At 42.4% G+C, this 19,971-nt stretch overlaps 1 protein-coding gene across 17 annotated transcripts in view, besides 1 other annotated feature; it reads right to left on the bottom strand.

Annotated features, from left to right (window-relative positions):
• KIF16B (kinesin family member 16B) overlaps window positions 1-19,971 on the bottom strand; it is a 301,345-nt gene that overhangs the window by 109,562 nt on the left and 171,812 nt on the right. For 9 of the 17 annotated variants that reach the window (XM_047440266.1, XM_047440264.1, NM_001199865.2 and 6 more), the window contains exon 18: window positions 29-82. In XM_047440266.1, coding sequence (XP_047296222.1) covers window positions 29-82 — 54 coding nt within the window. Of the gene's footprint in view, window positions 1-28; window positions 83-432; window positions 466-19,971 lie in introns of all 17 variants that reach the window. The other 8 variants (XM_047440265.1, XM_047440263.1, XM_005260755.4 and 5 more) reach the window with 1 other exon arrangement.
• Window positions 10,983-11,042: a silencer, noted in NCBI's record as "silent region_12682". NCBI's record gives its function as "represses an Ori minimal core promoter by ATAC-STARR-seq in GM12878 lymphoblastoid cells {active_cell/tissue: GM12878}" and the evidence as "EXISTENCE:reporter gene assay evidence [ECO:0000049][PMID:35858748]".

The raw sequence follows: 19,971 nt of genomic DNA on the forward strand, positions 1-19,971 counted from the left end.
GTTGAAACTTGAACCCCATGTGACTTACCTTTTACTTTCTAATTTTTCAAGTTCTTCACGCTGTTGCCTCTCAAATTCAAGTCTAATAAAATCAAATGAAAATGAGTCACTTTTCTAAAGAGCTTTTCTATCTCTCTCTCACTCTCTGTATACAGAGTCACATATTAAAAAGGGCATCAGTTTTTCAAGTATTACTTTTAATTACCACGGGTTAGCAAGTTTAAAATGCATTCTTTGCTTTAGGACTATGATTAGGAATTAGACATACTTTTGGGTACTTGAACTCAGGCTGAAAAGAACAGATTTTACTTGAAGGAAAACAAAACAAAAACTGTATTGAAAAAGCAGAGTTAAACAAGACTTCTAAATGATAAGCACGTCTACTCCATGCAGCTTAGCACTGATGAGTATATAAAAATGGAGAATCTCTACCTTAGACAGATGGGTCCTTTTATAGGGAAAAGACTGCCAGGGAGGTGGAGAGAGAGAGAGAAAGAGAGAGAGAGCACAGACATCAATTAAGGAAAGCATTTAATAGGAAGGAATATCAGGAGAAAAGCAGTAAGGTACTTAAAAGGCAATAGCCATGCATGAATTGAAACATCTTTTTATAAATATCACATTTCCCAATAATTTCATGAAACAAACACTCCAAAAAGTTAGCTCTGTTATGTTTTACACTTCTCACACTTCTCTACACTTCTCATCATAATCATAGAAAATAACTGAGTACCAATAATAAATATAAACAGTAGTCAAACTAGCACCTTTACTACTTTATAGATAGTTATACTGCATGTAGGTTCATCAAGTTCCTGCTGTAATTAATGGTTATACAGTATAGGAGTTATGGGGGTTGTGAGATTGTGAACAGATTCATAGTGGTGGTACAATAAAGTGATTTAGGTCATTGGGAATTTTAAAACAACTCACTAAAATAATAACACAAGCTGATTTCTTATCAAATACTATATTTAATTATCGCAAAGTTTCACTATTCTTATTAAGCAGCAGAAACTGTATTTCTTTTTAATTTTTTTTCAGGGTTGGGATCGGAGTTGGGTCAGACACTGCCAGCTACCTCCCCCCACCCCACCACCCTTGAACTATATAATTCTTAAGCTTATACATTTTTCTGTTGCGGTAGAGGGCAGATACAGCTAAAAAGCTTGGCTACAGAAAAGTCACCATAAATCTTCTTCCTCGAATAATGTGCAAAATCCTGATTGGAAACAATTACTTAGTCATGAGTGAACAAACTTCAAATAGTTCTCTTTCCAATTTAATAATGTGGAGTAATATTGAGAATAAGATGTCTGGTGGATTTCGTTTTGGTATTGTTTTTTGAGTCAGGGTCTTGCTTTGACTTCCAGGTTGGAGTGCAGTGGTGTGATCATGGCTCGTTGCAGCCTTGACCTCCTAGGCTCAAGCAATCCTCCTCTCTGTTTCCTGAGCAGCTGGGACCACAGTATGGTGGCTTTTTTAGGCAGAACTGAGTATCTCTTACATGGCAGGTGCTGTGTGGCATGATTTACACATAACCTCCCTCTGTCCACCCAGCAAATTCTAAAGGTGGCAAACAGTATCTCCATTTTACACACAAGGAATCCAAAAGTTTGGATATGTTGAACACCTTCTCCAAGGTCACAGTGGTAATAGGTGGTGGAGCCAGGATGTGAACTCATGGCAGTCTGCTTCCAAAATACCGTCTATTAACTCAGTTTATGAGCAATGTTCAAATTTGTGATATTAAAGTATTAAATATTTCATTGAAACCTGTTAGATAGCAATATATTTATTCTACTGACAAATGGAAATAATCTGTACCTTATGCATGAGAAATCAGCCATATAAATCTAAATGAAAAGCATTTGCCAGTCATGAAGGCCAGCCCATATGCAATTGCATTAAGTAGTCCTAGGACTTCATTAAAATTAAAATATGATCATTTCTTTTTATTTAAGAATAAACAGAACCTTAGGAAGGATTCCAAGTTGGTATCTTCATACTTCAGTAGAGTTTAGTCTTTCTAGAGATATTTACATAGTCAAAAAGAATCATTGGATAAAATACTTTTTAAAATCTGAGAATTTCCCTAATGGAATGATCTGTACTCTTCATTTTTATTTTCTGTGAACAAGAGCTCAGTGTGCCCATCAGTAGAGCTGGCTTTGACAGTGTCACGTGTGCACAGCCACAAATGCTACACTGAGCACTGGGCATTCGGATGGAAACCTACCATCTGAGGATTGTTTCTAGAAACAGGTTTTGTGTTTGACAGTCGGCATGCCCTCCGTCACTTGTTCTTCCAGCCTTAGAAAGCATATTTCTTATCCCTTTTGACAAAGCAGGAAACTGAGGCTTAGAGTACATAAGCAGCAGAGGCAGGACTTGAATTCAAGTTTGGTAATGAAATCTCTGCTGCCAACCACTACAACTGTTGCTACTAGTGAGCTGCAAGGTCTCAAGGAGGTAATCAGTTCTGAGTTTTAATATCTAAAGTGACATTTTAACTGAGCACCTACTTTTTAAAAATTGAACACAGTGTCACGAACTGTGCTAGGCAAGAGGCTACAACAGTCTGTAAGAGAGATGTGGTCCCTGTCCCCACCAGGCTCCCGGTCTGTAAGTGACAGTCAGTGTGTCACACATGAGCATGGGGTACTGACCCCAGAATTTGGTAGTACCTAGGATCAAGGCAAGCTTCCTGAAGAAGCATATATCTAATCTGAGTCATTCTTTCTCTTGCATGATATAGAAACTCAAGGAAAGCTAATAAAATCAGCTTTGGGCTTGCTATAGGAGAGGTGGCAAGACATGAAGCTCAAGAGGACAACAGAAGCTGGACAGTGAAGAGCCTTGGATGTTATGTTAATGACTCTGAACTTGATCTTAAAGGAGGTGGCAGAAAAATGTCTTGGGCCAGGGCTGTTGAAGAACACATACTCTTGGTGTTTTGTAGAAAATAGATGGGTGGGGGAGCAATATGAGAAGGCAGAGACAAGTTAGTGGTAGCAACTTAAGCAGGAGATGGCAGAGCAGGACCCATGACAACTGTTTGCCTTGATCCTAGGTACTACCAAATTCTGGGCTCAGAACCCCATGCTCATGTGTGACACACTGACTGTCACTTACTGATCAGGAGCTTGGTGGGGACAGGGACCACATTTCTCTTACAGACTGTTGCAGCCTCTTGCCTAGCACAGTACCTGACACTGTGCTCAATTTTTAAAAAGTAGGTGCTCAGTTGGCCAGGCACGGTGGCTCACACCTGTAATCCCAACACTTTGGGAGGCTGAGGCAGGCGGATCACCTGAAGTCAGAAGTTTGAGACCAACCTGGCCAACACGGTGAAACCCCGTCTCTACTAAAAATACAAAAATTAGCCAGGCGTGGTGGTGGGCACCTGTAATCCCAGCTACTCGGGAGGCTGAGGCAGGAGAATGGCTTGAACCCAGGAGGTGGAGGTTGCAGTGAGCTGAAATCTTGCCACTCTACTCCAGACTGGGGGACAAGAGCGTAACTCTGTCTCAAAAAAAAAAAAAAGTAGGTACTCAGTTAAAATGTCACATTAGATATTAAAACTCAGAAATGTATTATCCTGGTGAGAGGATAAAGAAGTGAAGCTCTCTCCTGACACTCAGCAGGTTGAACTGACAAAACTTGGCAACTGGTGGCATTTTGGTAGGGGTGGTAAAGAGAAAGAAAAAGTCAAAGATGACCCTCGGGTTTCTGTCCAAGTCCTATAGGGGGGCAGGAAGGCAGAACATAACTACAAAGAGACTGAGCCCAGAGATCAGCAGGTCTGAATACAAATTCTAGTGTTCTGAGACCATGAACAAGTTATTTAACCTTGGATGCTTCATTGCTGTAAAGGCTGAAGAATGTAACAGGCCCCACCTCAAAGGGCTGTAGCCAGGATCAAGTGAGACACGACAAGTAAGATGCCTGCCTGGCACCTGGACACATCGAGGGCTGAGTGTTGCCTCGCATTGCTGTGGTTCACTGAGATGAGAAGAGCAGTGGGGAAGGAGGGGCCTGGGGAGTGGCAGCTGTAGCAGTGCTGGTGCTCAAGGTGGGAGAGGCCAGGGCAGTGGTTGACACTCACCAAAGCTAACAACCACGGGGGACTCACTCCATACCTGGCACTGTTCTAGGTACTGTGAATTTAATTCTCACAATGACCCTGTGAGGTCACTGTTCCCATTTCACACATGAGAAATGGCAATGTTACTAGTAACTGGCAGAATCAGGTTTGATTCTAGAGCCCACAATTTTAATCTCTTCTCTGTCCTGCTTTCAAGCTAAGCTCAGTTTTACACTTATAGAATCCAATGTTTACAAAGGGTCATCCAACTGAGACGTCCAGCAGGCAGCACGAAACATTCAACGAGCTGGTATGCAGGCCCTTATCAAGGCTGAAGGTATGGACTTGGCCTTCACTGGCATGTTGACAAGAACTGAAGCCCCAAGAGTGGGTGAGGTTACCCAGGACACACGTGTAGAAGGAGAATAAAGGAGCTTGCTGCAAAGTCAGAAAGATTACAGACTTCACAGTGACGGGCAGAGATAAATGGCCCTCTAATGAGGCTGGGAGTGAGCAGTTAGAGACTCAGAGAAAAATCTGGAAAGGGCAGAGGGAAGAGGGTATCTAAAGAAAGAGAAAGAGATCAGTAGCATGGAATAACCCAGGAATGCCAAGTAAAATGCAGAGCCCAAGGAGCACCCAATGACCTTCATGACGTGGAGGTTCATCTTGGAGAGACCTTTGCTGGGCTGGGGCTGGGGCTGGACTGCAGAGGTCTGATGAGTGAGTGAGAGGAACCTGGAGATGGTGAATGTAAATACAGTAGAGCGCTTTCTTGGTAGGTTTAGTTGTAAAGGGGAGGTGGTGGTTTTGGGAGAATGGGTGCTCATTTTAACAGATGAAATAGACTTGTGCCTATTTAAATCCTTGTATCAACAAGCAGGAGACAGAGAGATTGAGTGAAAAAATGGGAAGAGGCTGGGAATATCTGATAGACAGAGAGGTCTCTGAGCGGGCAGGAAAGGAAAGGGTAGCGCCATAGCTGAGAGCAAGGGTTCAGGCATGGGTGCAGCCCAGACCAAATTCTGGCTCCTATATGACCAAGGGACAATCTCTCAACCTTCCTACACCTCAATTACCTCATCTGAACACAGGCTCAAAAATAATCCTAGTCCTCAGTGGGTGAGAGGATCCAATGAGGGTACTCACAACCACTGTTAACTTAGTTAATAAATACTAGCTATTAATCCTATAGCATCCATAGTACAGGTAGGGGCAGTTAGTCTGAGAAAGGCAAAAGGGGAGTTTTTTCATTGGGACAGGAAGAAGAAGAAAAGGATGAATGCAAAGCAGACATGGGATTCAAAGGTGTTGCTCTCTTAGGACTCCTGTGTTCTATATGGAGTCAGGAACAAGCTCCTCTGCCTAATGACTCCTCTTCATAAGAGTGAGGAGAAATAATAGCAGGGTTAGAAGTAAAAGAGTCAGGAACATTATTTGTAATAATGAAGGGGCCGGTGGGCAAGAGAACTGATGGAGGAAATGAGCAGAAAGGGCTGGCTGGGCATCATTCAAGCTTAGAGACTATTAATTTACAGGGGCACTGATCTCTGTGTTGATGTGGTTTTCTCGGTTGCACTGAGCTTAGATGTCTAGGTATAGGCTTAGGGTGGGGAGATAGCTCAATGGTTCTAGAATCAATGAGACTCACATAAGTGGAAGAACAGAAGGATCATCTGATGATCTGGGAAGTGGATGGCTCAAGTGCTGGAGATGAGGGACTTAATTGGATAGGGAAGTAAGTGGCGACAAGACAAGGCTTACAGGAAAAGAAATCAAAGAAAGTCTCCATGCTGAAGAAGGGAGTGCTATTTAAGTAACTAGATTGCAAGATGAGTTAGTTTCAAAGAATCACTGAAGATAACATCACGACTTAGAATGATGAAAGGCTTAGAAGGAAATGTCTGGAAGGGGAGGAGAAGGCAACTGTACGGACAGTCAAAGAGTGCGAAAGGCAAAAAGTGGGACAGGCAGCGGTCCCAAGTGAGGCTCATAAGTGCTCCAGCAGGCAGAGGAAGGGTGGTCTGGAGCAGCTTGGAGGAGGATCTAAGAGTCTCTGGATTGGTGAAATCATAGGTCCTCCTCAGGCGAAGCCTTCACTTTAGAGTGTCTGATTGGGATGGAGAAGGGGAAGTACGTGTATTAAGGGAAGTTGTCAAGATCAGGCGCTTGAGGCTGTTGCTCTGGCCTCTGAAGGTAGTACTGTAAAGTACTGAGTCAGAAATCAGAGAGAGATTCTCATTTTAATTCTTAATGAAGACTTGTGATTTTCTTTCTGTGACCAGTCTCTAAATAGGTAGAAACTTTGGTTGTTTTCTACTGAAAGCAAAATGCCTTTAGTAAATAATGATACCTGTTTCCTCAAAAATAAGAGTAACATTTAAAAGACAAACAAAAAATGCCGTAAAGATGTTTGGTCTTAAATCACAAACAGTATGAGGGGAGAGTCATTCCAAAGTTAGAGAGATTTTTAGATATGCAGTGATATGAGTTGCTGCTCACACTGGATCATTTCTGTTAAATATTACATATTTACTAATCATACTCCAAAATGCACCTATTTCCATAATCAATGATAATTATTTGGGATAGTAAAACTCAGTAGAATGTAAAATATAAATGTGAGTGTGTCATTATCAAGGAGAGAACATCAAGAATAATTGTATTTGAAGGTGGCTTTATTTTAAATATGTGTAATTCATTATCTTACTTTACTGGAATTATCATGGCCCCCCATTCTAATTTCCCAAATGTTATAATTAAAAGGAAACCACAAAGAATGTAATTTTTGCAGGTGTTTTTAACATTTTTAAATGACACTTGGAAGTATACTTACTGTGTTAAGTCCAACAAAAAAAGCATAGCATACAACCTATTTTTTTTTTTAAATCAGAGATAGCCTTTTCTTTTACATTAAAAGAGATCTACCATTTTTAGGTATAACTGCACATACTTCAATTAATCTTCCTGTTATCATCGGCAATAAAAAAATGAGGGGGTGGGAATTTCTCAGCTTATACCATAAAGAAGGAGGGAGGGAGAAAGAAGGGAGGAGAGAGAAGTGAGGAAGATTTAAATGAACTGAAAGCATAAATACCTGCATCCTTGTGTGTCTTCATGGTGATTCGTGTTGTACCTATGATGTCGTTTCAGTTTCTAAACAGAGTATGACTGCCCAGGTCCAGTCAATGCTTGAGCAGGCAGCTGCAGTGCGGGTAGATAGGGAGGGTAACGGAAGCTGAGTCCAGCCCACAACATGCACGGAAGGGAGACCCCCTGGCAACAGAGGCGGTCTCCCTATGGGACAGTCATATTGGTAAAGTTCCTGGCATGGATATTACTCTATTATCTCAGTGGGCACATGATCAGACAAGGAAAAACTTCTTGGTCAATGCGTAGGCCTGGCTTTTTCCTAGGTGACTTTTAGGCTACTGTCAAATATAGGGATTACTTCATGGGCATGTGACCCATGCAGCTGCACAGGGCCCTGTGCTCAGACAGGTCCCATATTTGATTCTCTGCTGTGGCCATCTTGAAATTCTTAATGATATTAGAACAAGAGGCCCAACTTTCAATATGTACTGAACTCTGCAAATTATGCAGCTAGTTCTGATCAAGCATATGTCATCTTTGAAAGAACTCCTGGCCTTTTGCCTGGAATGCTCGGTAGTATTCCTCAGTCCAGAGAACCAGAAAAGGACTAGAACTCAATGGACGGTGTTTCACCTTTCCCTGATGCTTCACTAGGGTTTAGTTCCGACTACAGAGGGTTCTTCAATGGTTTAGACAAAAAATGATTGACCTTTTCACCACACTACCATCCCCTAGGAAACTTCAGCCTTCTCAAGCACCTCACAACTGAGCAAATCCCATGGAGACTAGGGGATCTTAAAGACTAAAGAGAATGTTTGAATTTGGGTGAAGGGGTTTGTGCTTGTCCTATCCAATCTTCTTCCTAGCCTTGTGAACCTAACATTCTAGATGTTCCTTGAAGGCTAAGCAGAAAGCAGTTATTTCACCCAGGGTAGGCTCTGGGAGACTGATGAAAAGAAGAACCCAGCCATCCATCAGGTTTCCAGCTCTTCATGGAAAGGCCTTGAAGTCTTTCCTGTGTGAATTAGCTCTCAGGTAAACTTTCATTAGAAAGGTAGGAATAGCTGTTTTGTAGAGACAATTAGAATTTCTACACTACTCACTCCCACTCACCCTTTTTTCAAATCATTGTCAGGGTATCCCACAGTAGGCGGACTTACATAAAATTACAATTCGAGGGGTGTGTATCAAGATGGGGGTGGGATACAAGAAGTCTCACAATGCAATTTATTCTAGAAGGTTGTGAAATTAAACCCTCTTAAGTAAACGTCAGAGTTTATAACTTAAAAATTCAAAACACTCTGGGAATGGTTTTCTAATAAATTTCCAAATTGCTGGTCTAGAAGGTACTCACTAAAGACTTTCCAAGGAGCCAGTCTTAAGCCTTTTGCATTGCAAATGGAAAGTGCCCTAAGAAAAAAGGATTGGTTTTTTAAAAAATAATAAAATTTGATATCATAAGCATTTTCACTAAGTTTCTCCCCGGCCTATTTCTCATAGCAATGGTATAACTTGCTCTGAAAATGACAGCTAGGACCATAGATGTGAAACCCAGAGGCTTTCCTAATCAAGCCAGAGGATCACAGGCAGTCTGACTGGATAGACACTTGAAATAGATCATACAATGAACTCGTACACACCCCACCTCCCCTGCCCCTCCATCCTATTTTACAGGCCAGAAGAATGAGGCCCATAGAGTGTGAGAGAGAGGGCCCAGGTGAACTCCTTTTAAGAGTCTGGACTCAAGCCCACCTCTTCCAACTCCTCATCCATTCTTCTACCCAGGCTGGAATTCTATCTCACCTTCTCAACCAAACCATGGTACTTTTTATACCAGAAGGAGCCTCTCAAAAGTTAAAAATGATCCATCATTACAAAATATACCTCTTCCCATTGGACAAACCAGAAGAATGCACCACATAATTTTCCTCCCACTTCCTTCAGCCATGCATTCTACATATACAACAAAACTTGTCCTGGCACCTGCTGTGAACAGGCAGGACTCTGAGTAGAATAAAGAATGGACAGCGTGCCTTTGGATACTCTTAAGTGAGTGAAACAGAGTGAAAGAAAACATGCTCATATATCGATCACACAGAATGTAAGGAGCCCAGTGGGAAAGGGCATGTTTTCAACAGGAGACGGGGTGGAGGGACAGCATTTATAGGGATGAGAGGAAGCCTTGCAGAGGAGGTGTTGTCTGAGCTTGGCCTTGAAAAACGGATAGAATTGTGATGAGCATAGTGTGGGTGGGGGAAGATCCAGTGGAAGAAAAACAGAAGGAAGACAAATGAGAGGTACACAGAGGAAGCTATACAGAGCCTCAGCTGGCTACTGCTCTGATTAAATAAAGGGAAGTGATGAGAAATAACAGGGAAGTTAGACTGTGAGCAGAATATTAAAGGTCCAGATGACACACTCTCGAGGGCACCTTCCTGGGCAAGCTTCTCTTCTGCCTCCCCTGCCCATGAGTCCTCTATCACAGCACGGGGCAGGACATTCAGGAACTGGTGGTTCACTCGCCCATAATTCACCTGGTCAACATGCCAGGCACTATCCTAGGCACTGTGGTCTCAGCAAAAGAAATCAAGTCTCTTCCCTCATAAACCTCTATACCAGTGTGGGGTTGAGCTAACTAATACATAATGCGTATGCCGTGAGATAAGTACTATGAAAAAGCATAAAGCTGGGGAAGAGGAAGGACTGAGAAGAGGACATTCAGGACAGAGCTGCATGAAGGAAGGGAGTGGCCATGAAGATGCATCTGGTGCCAACATGAGGGATGAGCCAGGCCACAGGCCAGGAGGGGATGTGTGCAGGACAATGGAAGTACAGAAGGACCACATGGTGCCAGCAGGAGAAGAAACCAAGGGAGGGTGGCCACAAGAGAAGAATCATGGCCCAAGAGGGAGCTAGGGTGGACACCACTCAGGGCCTTTCAGGTCACAGAGGGCAGAGGTTGTCTCCCCCTCCACTGGGGTTTTCAGAGGACAGAGATCCCCACCTGGCTGACCATGTATCCTGAGGGCTTTCTGTAAGGCACAGAGTAGGTTTCAACCGGTGATTTCTATGGGTAGTGTTTTGAAGACAGTGGCATGAGCTTCACAGCCAGAAACACAATGACAAGGAGTTACAGACCACCTGAGTGAGGAGATGGTGTCAACCGATGTCCATCTCTTTGCCGTAAGAAATAACTTTTAATACCCTGCATGCTCTCATGTTTACAATAATTCACTGCAAAAAATTTAGAAAGCACAGGTAAGTGTCCTACACCATGACTCCTTTATTTTGTTCCCAGCCCTCAGCCTTTCCGGCCATACAGATGCACTCACAGAGAAGAGCCTACCAGAGAGTCTATTATTTAATCATTTCCTCATAATATACACCTTGGACAAATCAGCAAATCATTAACTATTATTCTACAACATAGTTTAATATCATGGGATTCTATAACATAGATGCACCATGATTTATGTACACAATTTTATATTGTTGGAAATGTACATGGGAAATTATCCTGAAAAACCATTTTGGTGACGTCTATAGTGGGTGGCCCAAGAAGGGGCTGGTTTAAGGAAAGAAACACTGTGCACATTTGTGGGTAGAGGGAACAGAGAACAGAGAAGGGAAACTTGAAGATGCAAAAGAGATTCATAAAAGGCACCGCAGTTCCTCTGCCATGACGATACACTGTTGAAGTGAAGAGCTTTGCAAGTCCACCTGACACATGTGTACGCCTCTGAGATCGCACATGTGAAAGACAACATGCCGATACGCCTAACCAGGCAATGCTGAAAATGTGCGCCTCTGTATCCCAGACCAGGGCTGCCAGAGGTCTCAGAGCACCAGCCTGTCTGCCATGCTCAGCTCTCTGTTGCAGTGCATTTTCTTTTCTAGGTCTCCAACCCAGTGGTATAGTCCTTCCTTCCCTTATTTCTCTCCCTGACATTTCCCTCCTTATTCCTCCCCAAGTTGCTTTAATTTAAGCAGCAGTTGCCATCAAAGAAAGAATTCTGGGCGTGGATTTAGCTGACAAAATAACAAAGCAGACCAAGATTTATATAAAGATTAATTGAAATGTTATCAACAATTTACATGGAAAAAAAAGGAAATAGTTCTGAGTGTCTTTAATGATTAGTCAAAAGTTAAATCAATAATGATATAAACATAAAATGAAGAATCATATTCAACGGCGTGAGAAAAAGCACACAATTAAATGTTTAAAAAAAGTAGAAACTGTATATCTAGTGCAATCTCAATTCTGTTTTTTAAATACTCTATATAATGCATAATTACAATATCTGATGTACACTTAAATATATGTACTTAAAATATAAGCAAATATTACAAATATAAACCAATCATGTTTTCTTGGTGAAAAGATTATGAATACTTGTGATTACTTTATTCATTTCTGAATGTGTTACTTTTTATAATAAGCATTTCACTTTATAATGGGAGTAACTACCTATTTAAAATAATTTTTTCAATCTACACTGGTTATAGCAATTGTTTTACTTCTGCTTTGCTTCTATCAATCTGTGGTTCATTTCAATTTATTTCCAACAATGATGACAATTAACCTTAGGTCATGAGATACGGGAGTTGCTGGTGATGGTTAAACATACGGTGTCACTGACTTGGAAGCCAGCCATTGCAGGTTAAGAGTCATGGTCTGTGATAAAAGGAGGGTATGGAAGTTCCTTATCTGGAAACAGTTCACACATACACACATTCAGTCAAGAATTATTCCCTTAAACACCTACTTAGAAGTTGGAATACAGTACTGAAAAAACCAGACTCTTCCACTTACCACTAAATACAGAGACCAAGAGTAGACAGTTGTACAAACAGATATAATCACCAACTACTTAAAGTGCTAACAAGAAAAGATAGAGGATGCTATGAATAAGTAGCCCAGGAGGTAAAATTTGGACTGAGTTTGGTAAATCCTCTTTGAGGAAGTGACATTTACATGGAGATTTTGGAGACAATGTAGGATTTGGTCATGTGAAGAGCCGGTGGACAAATGGACAAGTGTTCTAGAAGGAGAGAATAGCATATGCAAAGATCCAGAAGCAAAAATGAATGTGTACAACTGGAAACCTTGACTGAATTAGCAACATGTTCTAATCAAATGAGTTAACAAATTACAGAGCCGGTGACACGTAATCAAGTTAATATGTTACTGCCAAGGAAAATCATGCTACCATGTAGGACTAGGAGGAAACCTACTTTCTCCCACCATTGCCTGTAACTGCCATTCATCATTTCACCAGAACAGTCTCATTTGCTCAGCTGACCTTGACAATTCAGTTTTAGATTGTGTGGTTATAAAATGGCTGAAGCAAAATGCATCCCACCACTCAGACAATACAATCTGAAGTAACTGAATAAAGACAGATTGTTCTTTGAATTTAAGAGCTCATCTCCCCACCTACTTTGAAAACAGAAAACACCCGAAGCTCATCAGTTAAAGTGGCTCACAGTGGAATAATATTCACGGACAAAAAGGAAAAAAGCAAGTCTCCAATTAACACTAATCTCAGTTAATGGAGGAAGAAGCCCACTTCTTTCAGTTGCTTTCATCACATGTTCCCCAAGATTGTGTATCTTAACAAGCTATTTAAGGCAATCTATAGCCAACTGTAAAGTTAGTAAATGGTCCATAAAAACGCAAGACAACTGAGACCAAAAACTGGAGAAGAAACCAGCCTTGCAGCAAACTAAACTTTTGAAAAATGGTAAGGCCCAATAAAATAAACCAGTAGAGATAAACACAGTAAATAACCATCAACTAAAACACAGGCTAACTACCAAGTTACCAGCAACATAAATACTGCCAACTCCATGTATAAAAAGTCCATGCTCAAGGTGAGCAAGAAAAAAAAAAGGATAAGACAAATTATAAAGTAGCAGCGAGTGAGTGAGAAGAGAAAAGTGTGCTTGCAAGGGAATGTGGTCTTCTTCCCTCCCAGGACACGCAGTGGGGACCATGACCTCACATGAAGGTGCAAACCTTGTTGAGAATATCTCCAGCTACCAGCAGATTCTGTTTCTGAAGCCCTTTCTACATTGTTAGAAAGCAAAGGGGAAAAGTGCATTCCCCTTAGTTCATGTTTATTAGACGTCTAAGTTCCAGGTATGCTGCTGTGCACTGAGTAAACAACAAACTAGATTCTATGTCTGTTTTCTGGAAGTGTACAGTCGTGGACAGCAAAGCTAAGGCTCAGTACAACAAAGGGCATACCCCTGTCATCGGTGTCTTCTTACTCTCTCCCTAATGTGATGTATTCATCCTCCCAGTTTAGTCAAGGCAGAAAGGAGATGAGGAAGGGGAGAGGAGGGGAGAGGAGGGAAGAGGAGGGGAGGGGAGGGGAGAGGAGGAGAGGGGAGGAGAGGGGAGGCCAAGGGAGGGGAGGGGAGGGGAGGAGAGGGGAGGCCAAGGGAGGGGAGGGGAGGAGAGGGGAGGCCAAGGGAGGGGAGGGGAGGGGAGGAGAGGGGAGGCCAAGGGAGGGGAGGGGAGGAGAGGGGAGGCCAAGGGAGAAGATATGAAAGAAATAGGGAAGGAGTGGGACACAGGGAGGAAAACAAAACTATTTCCTTTCATATAAATGTTGTCATCTGGGGAGAAGCCCTCACTATCTCCTTGGTGCCTTTGGCTTTTGGTATTCAAATCCCAGAACTCTACATTTGGAATCTAGTTCTTTCAAGCTTTACATTCCAGAAATCCATTTCCATTCTTAATCTGAAAGCACCAGGAAGGCGGATGCTAATCTCATAGAGCATTCTAGTACAGCAAGTAGCTCAGCACAGAACTAATTAGGAGCTTGGTGAGTCTTTGGTGATGACCAGGATGGCCAGGACTTGCTTTTAGAGACAGCCACTGTTAGCCAGATTCCCTAGACTCTAGGGCCTGTGAATACAGCCTAGAACTGTGTCTAGGAGGGTGTAATTATATCGACACATTCAACACTCTAAGGAGGCCCATTTTCAGCTTGAAAAAATAAATAAATAAAAAGGATAGTCTCATCTATCAGTGGGAATGATGGTGATATATGTATAAACAATCTGTAAAATAATTTGTGAACATGCATCGAGAGCCTTAAAACTATATGTACTCTGGCCTGGCAATTCTACAGCTACTTCCTCCCCGCTGAGGAATTAATCATGAGAAAATGCAAAGATTCAGCTACAAAGCTCTTCAGCCCAATAACTTGTGATAGTTAAAAAACAGACAACAAAATGCCTACCACTAGACGTTAAATAAGGTACGGCAGGGGTACCCAGTCCCCAGGCTGCGGACTGGTACCAGCATTCGATTTGCATAGGAGCGCAAACCCTATCATGAACTCCACACACAAGGGATCTAGGTTGCGCGCTCCTTATGAGACTCACCTAATTATCTGAGGTGGAAGAGTTTGATCCCGAAACCATCCATCCCCCTCCTCTGTCCCTGTCTCTGAAAAAACTGTCTTCCACGAAACTTGGTCCATGGTGCCAAAAAGGCTGGGGAGCACTGAGGTATGGAATAGTCATACAATGGAATATCATATGGACATTAAAATAATGTAAAAAAATTTATGAAAGAAAAAATAATAAGTGCAAAGAACTCTAAAGTCCAATATTAATCCATCTTGGTAAAAGATATAAAATATAAATATATATATATAAATGTGTGTACATATATAAATGTGTGTGTACATCTACACACAGAGAGGGAGAGGCAGAGACAGAGAGATGGACAGTGGAAGAAACAGAGGTATGGGCTAGAAGGTATGGTAACATGTTAACTGTAGTCGCTTTTTTTTTTTTTTTTTGCTTATGATTTCTAAATTTCCCATAATGAACACATTAAAGTAAAAAATACATTTAAGTATCACTCATTCGTCTTCTTCCCCGATTGTCGGTGACTTCAGACCAACCTCTGAGTTAGGGGCCTTCCGTGGCTGCTGGGTCTGCACTAGCCCTGATGCTAACCAAACCCCCTCAGGCTGCTGCACTCCTTGGGATGATGCTCCTTCAATGGCTCACCAGAAACAGGTTTAATCCTGATTTTTGATATTCTAACTGGGTTTGAAAGCTAGAATTTAATTATTCAAATACATCCATCTAAATGGGCTCACTACTGGTTAGTGCTCAGAGGAGGCTAATGTGCCAGTGAAAAATTCTTTTATTTTCAAGACTGAAATGAGCTTGGAAGTTATCTAATTTTGCTTTGAGCACTTTCAAGAAGCTGTGAAAGCCTCTGCATCTTGCCAAATTAGCTGCCTGTTTGCAGTCTCAAAGCAAGGCAGAGGAGGCTTGAGCAGTCGGCTTGGTTTCTTCTTAAAGACGCTGCACCAGCTGAGGAGGAATGTTTCCCCTGCAGGAAAATTATCTCCTGGCAAAGACCCTGGCTGGGCACCTCTCCAATGTGGAACTAACTCCCAAAGGAAGTCACCAGGCTTCTCTGCCTAATCCAAAAATTCTCTGGCACCAAGTATCACGCATGTGTGCGTACAAATCATGGCTTCCAGAGAGTTTGAGGTGTGGGCCAGCAGTAATTTCCCAAACTATGTTCCAACTCTATGTGCCCAGTTAGGCTGATACAATGTTCTTGGGGAACAAGAACTTTGCTTTTAAAACTGCAAATCTTACTATAATTCAGACCACAGGGTATTTTTTAGACATGGGCTGTTTAGAAAATTAGTAGATGGCCTGCTGAACAGACAAAAATCACATTGCTCTGAGGATAACTTGGAGCTTACTGGATACAATAATTTGCAAACCAGTCATTCTTTTGGAGAGCTTTGTTCTGGGAAAAACTGAGTACTATGCAGCAATTTTTCAGTCAATTGCAAAAACATACTCATGTCTACACAATACCAAAGAAACCAAGAGGTATGGTAATTGTAATGCCACCAAACTTGTAGAAACACATCTGTGTGGGTGAGAGACTCACAAAGATAGGGGCCAAGTAATGTGGAGATAGAAAACAGCACACAGGGACCACTGACAAAAGACCTGGGCAGACCTGTGAGAGGGCAGACGCATCCTTTGTGCTGAGAGCACATGTGCTGGCCAAAACCTACAGCTCAATGAATATTTGTGAGGTGCCCACTCTGTGGGGTCTTCTGGAGATTCAGAGATAAATGAAGCATAGTGCCTGCCCTCAAGAAGCCTACATCAATTAAATACACAAACATCAAATGAACAAATTTGGAAAGAGCTAAGATACAGGAATGCACAAAATGCCTGCGAGAGGATACACGGGAAGCACTTAGCTCCAACTGGAAATGCACAGAAAGCTTCCTGAGGATACGACTCTATGCTCAGCTCAAAAGAGGAAGAGGACTGGCCAAGGGAAGAAGAGGGGGAAGGCGTCACAGACAGTATTACAGATGCAGAGGCCTGGAGAAAGGTGTGACCCATGTAAATCACAGGATAAAGTTCCGAGTGGAGAGTGACTGAAAATAACATTGGAGAACAAAGTCAGAGATGATCAGGTTGAGTTGATGCTTGGAAGTCACCACCTGGTAGGTACTGAGGGGCCAGGCCAGAAGCTGAGAAGAGGAGGAGGGGGTGACCAGGAAGGGCTAAGGAGGTGTGGTGAGCTCCTTCCTCAGGTTCATGGCAGGGACAGGACTCCAGGGACAGGCCCACAAGTCTTCCCTGTGCCATCAGATAGAGAAAGTCAGGAATCACAGTGGTAACCATGCCAATCGGAGCTCTGCAACATTTGCTGCTCCTCATGTACTGACCACATTGTCCATTTAAGGAAAAAAAATCTGTCCTACATGTTCTTTGGTAGTGATGGACGACAAGATTTCCCAGAGTGAAAGATCCCTATATACTTGCTGAAGGTGGGGGCAACAAGAGGAAGAGTGCTAGGAGGACAAAGTACTCATGTAGAGCCAATTGCGGAAGGAAAAAAATTCCCAAGGGATAGAGTGGGTGATGACTGTTATCAACCGACAGGAAAGCAGGCGGCTTCACAGGGACCTGGGCAAGGGAGGGGAGTCCCAGCATTGCTAGGCAGAAGCCAGCATGAGGGCTTAGCACAGAGGAGGAGGCCAGGAGGCGTGTTTGTGTTTGTGTATACTGGGGCGGGCAGGGAAGCAAACATTTAATAGACACCTGCTTTGTATTACACAACAATTAAGAGGGTCAGCCCCTAGTTTGGCCTAAGAGGGGGAAAGTAATAAAGAGCAGAAGAAAGCTCTGAAACAAGTTTGTTTGAGTAGGAGGTGCCATCAATGCTTTTGATTCCTGTTAAAACTGGTTCTGGAGAGGTGATGAGGCAAATATGGGGTTAAGGGTCTCCAGACTCCGCACTTCTCAGCAGGGCTTGGTCACCTGCTGAAGCTACAAGACTGCTCACAGGGCTTGGTGACTATGTAGGTACCCTAGGAGGTGACTTACAATGAGATGCAATGCATTGGGAGCACAGGTCTGGGGTGACATGTGTGGCTTTCCCTAATTTAAAGATCTTCAAACTCATCCAAGTCTGGCATGTGAAAAGATAATACTACCACCGTCCTGATTTCTAACAGGCTTTACAAGTGTCTTCCCTGTTCACTAAATCATGCTCTGAGATGACTGAGCCTCGGTCTGTCTCAATCACTCAAGCCCCAGCACAGGGCTGGACAAATGATGGGCCCTCAAGCACCACTGAATGAATGATGTAAAACGGCAGGGCTGTGAACATCTATTTTATTCAACAGGGGGATTTGCCTTCATCTTCCAAGTGGAGAAATATCACCTGTGACAGGCCACACAAACCCGAGCTTTTCCCATGGGGTGTCTGATCGTTGACGGAGTCATAGTCACTTACAGGAGAAAGTTCAAGGCCCAGGGCCTAGTTTTTCAAGGTTGTACTCATTATCCTCCCTTCCTCTTGACAACCTGCTCCTCTTCCTCCCATATTTCTGTTTCAGCTGGGTGGCAAGCAGCACCCAACCAGTTACTGAAGCCAGAAACTGGAAGTCAACATCTTTTCCTTCATTACATCCCATATCCAATTCATTATCCAAACCTCATGACTTCCTGCCCTGACTGTCTCTGTAGCTCACCCTTCTAGGTTCCTCCCACTGCTGCCTCAGTTCAGGCCCTCACCTCTAGGATCCTTGTGAGCTTCTCCAGGGCTTGTGCTGCCCAGCCAATTTCTGAGAGGTCAGAGCAATGCCTTTCAATGCAAGGATGAATGACCATGCTGCTCCTTGGCTACAGGCACTCCTTGGACTGACTGGGTTTTGAGAAACATGCAAATGAGCTAGTTGAACTGAACTTGGCAGAACATGAGAGAGGTCATGTAATCATCAGGAAATCCATCCAGGTTAGATTTACATTCATCATTTATTTGCTATACTTACCAGGGGAACTACATTTTGAGATTTTCTTTCTATATTTTTAAACACCATTTTCAACAATGGACACTCTTGAGAAAATAGAAGAAGAAAATAAAGATGAAAAGAATACAATAAGATACTGCCTCACACACATTTTGATGTGTACTATAAAAACAGAAAATCACAAGTGCTGATGAGGATATGGAGAAACTGGAACCCTTGTGCCCTGTTGGTGGGAATGCAAAATGGTGCAGCTGTTGTGGAAAATAGCATAGCAGTTCCTTGAAAATTAAAAATAGGGCTGCCATATGATCCAGCAATTCTACTTCTGGGTACATACTCACAAGAGTTGAAAACAAGGACTCAAACAAACAAGTTGGACACCCATGTTCATAGCAGCATTATTCACAATAGCCAAAAGGTGAAAACAATCAAAGAGTCCATCAACAGATGAATGGATAAACAAAATGTGGTATATCCGTAAAATGGAATATTATTTGGCCACAAAAAGAAAGGAAGTTCTGACACATGCTATATGGTGGATGAACATGAACCAAAGACATTATGCTAAGTGAAATAAGCCAGTGAGAAGAGGACACACCAGTGATTCTACTTAAGTGGTTAAACTCATGGAGACAAAAGTTGTGTGCTGATTGTCAGGAGTTTGGGGGAAGGAGGGAATGGAAGTTATATTTAATGAGTACAGAGTTTTAGTTTGGCAAGACGAAACTGGTTGCACAGTAATGTCAATGCACTTCACACTACTGAACTGTACACTTAAAAGTCATTACCATGGGGAAGAATGTTAACTGAAGATTTGGCCCTGGAAACCCACCCCTCAGGCAACTAAAATTGATGGGCAATTACTTTCTACAGCAGGTGGCAAGTTGCAGGGGCCTGGGAACCAGAGAGAAAGTATGATGAAGTATTAAATAATTTTTATTTGAATTTGTGTCAATGAATAATGCAAGGGGTAGCAGAGAGAAAATGTGTACTTGAAGTCAGGTCAACAGGCTGCATAATGGTAGCGTCAGATGCATCCAGAACCACTGTAATTCAGTCTAAAACAGATTGCTTCTCCCGAATTCTCTGATTGCCTTGGCCTAGTTCTTCATTTCAAGATGAGGCCCTCTTCCCACCTATGGCTTAAAGATCCTGAACATGATTTTGAGATTATTCAAGTAACTGCAGCATCCCCTGGGACTTGCAGTATCCCCTGGGATTAGGCAGACAGATTAGGCCACAAAACCACATTCCTCTGCATAATATGTCTCATTCCAGTATTTGGAACATCCACGCCCAAAGAAATTTTAAAAGCCTTTCCCAAAGGGACTCAGGTGTCTTACTAAAATTTTATTCTTAATCTGTTTACAGAATTTTTATTAAGCATGTTATGTGAATGACACCTTATACAGAAAAGAATAACACAAGGCCCCTGACCTTAAAAAGCTTCCATTCTAA

The sequence above is a fragment of the Homo sapiens genome, chromosome 20 (assembly GCF_000001405.40).
Source record: "Homo sapiens chromosome 20, GRCh38.p14 Primary Assembly".
NCBI lineage: Eukaryota > Metazoa > Chordata > Mammalia > Primates > Hominidae > Homo > Homo sapiens.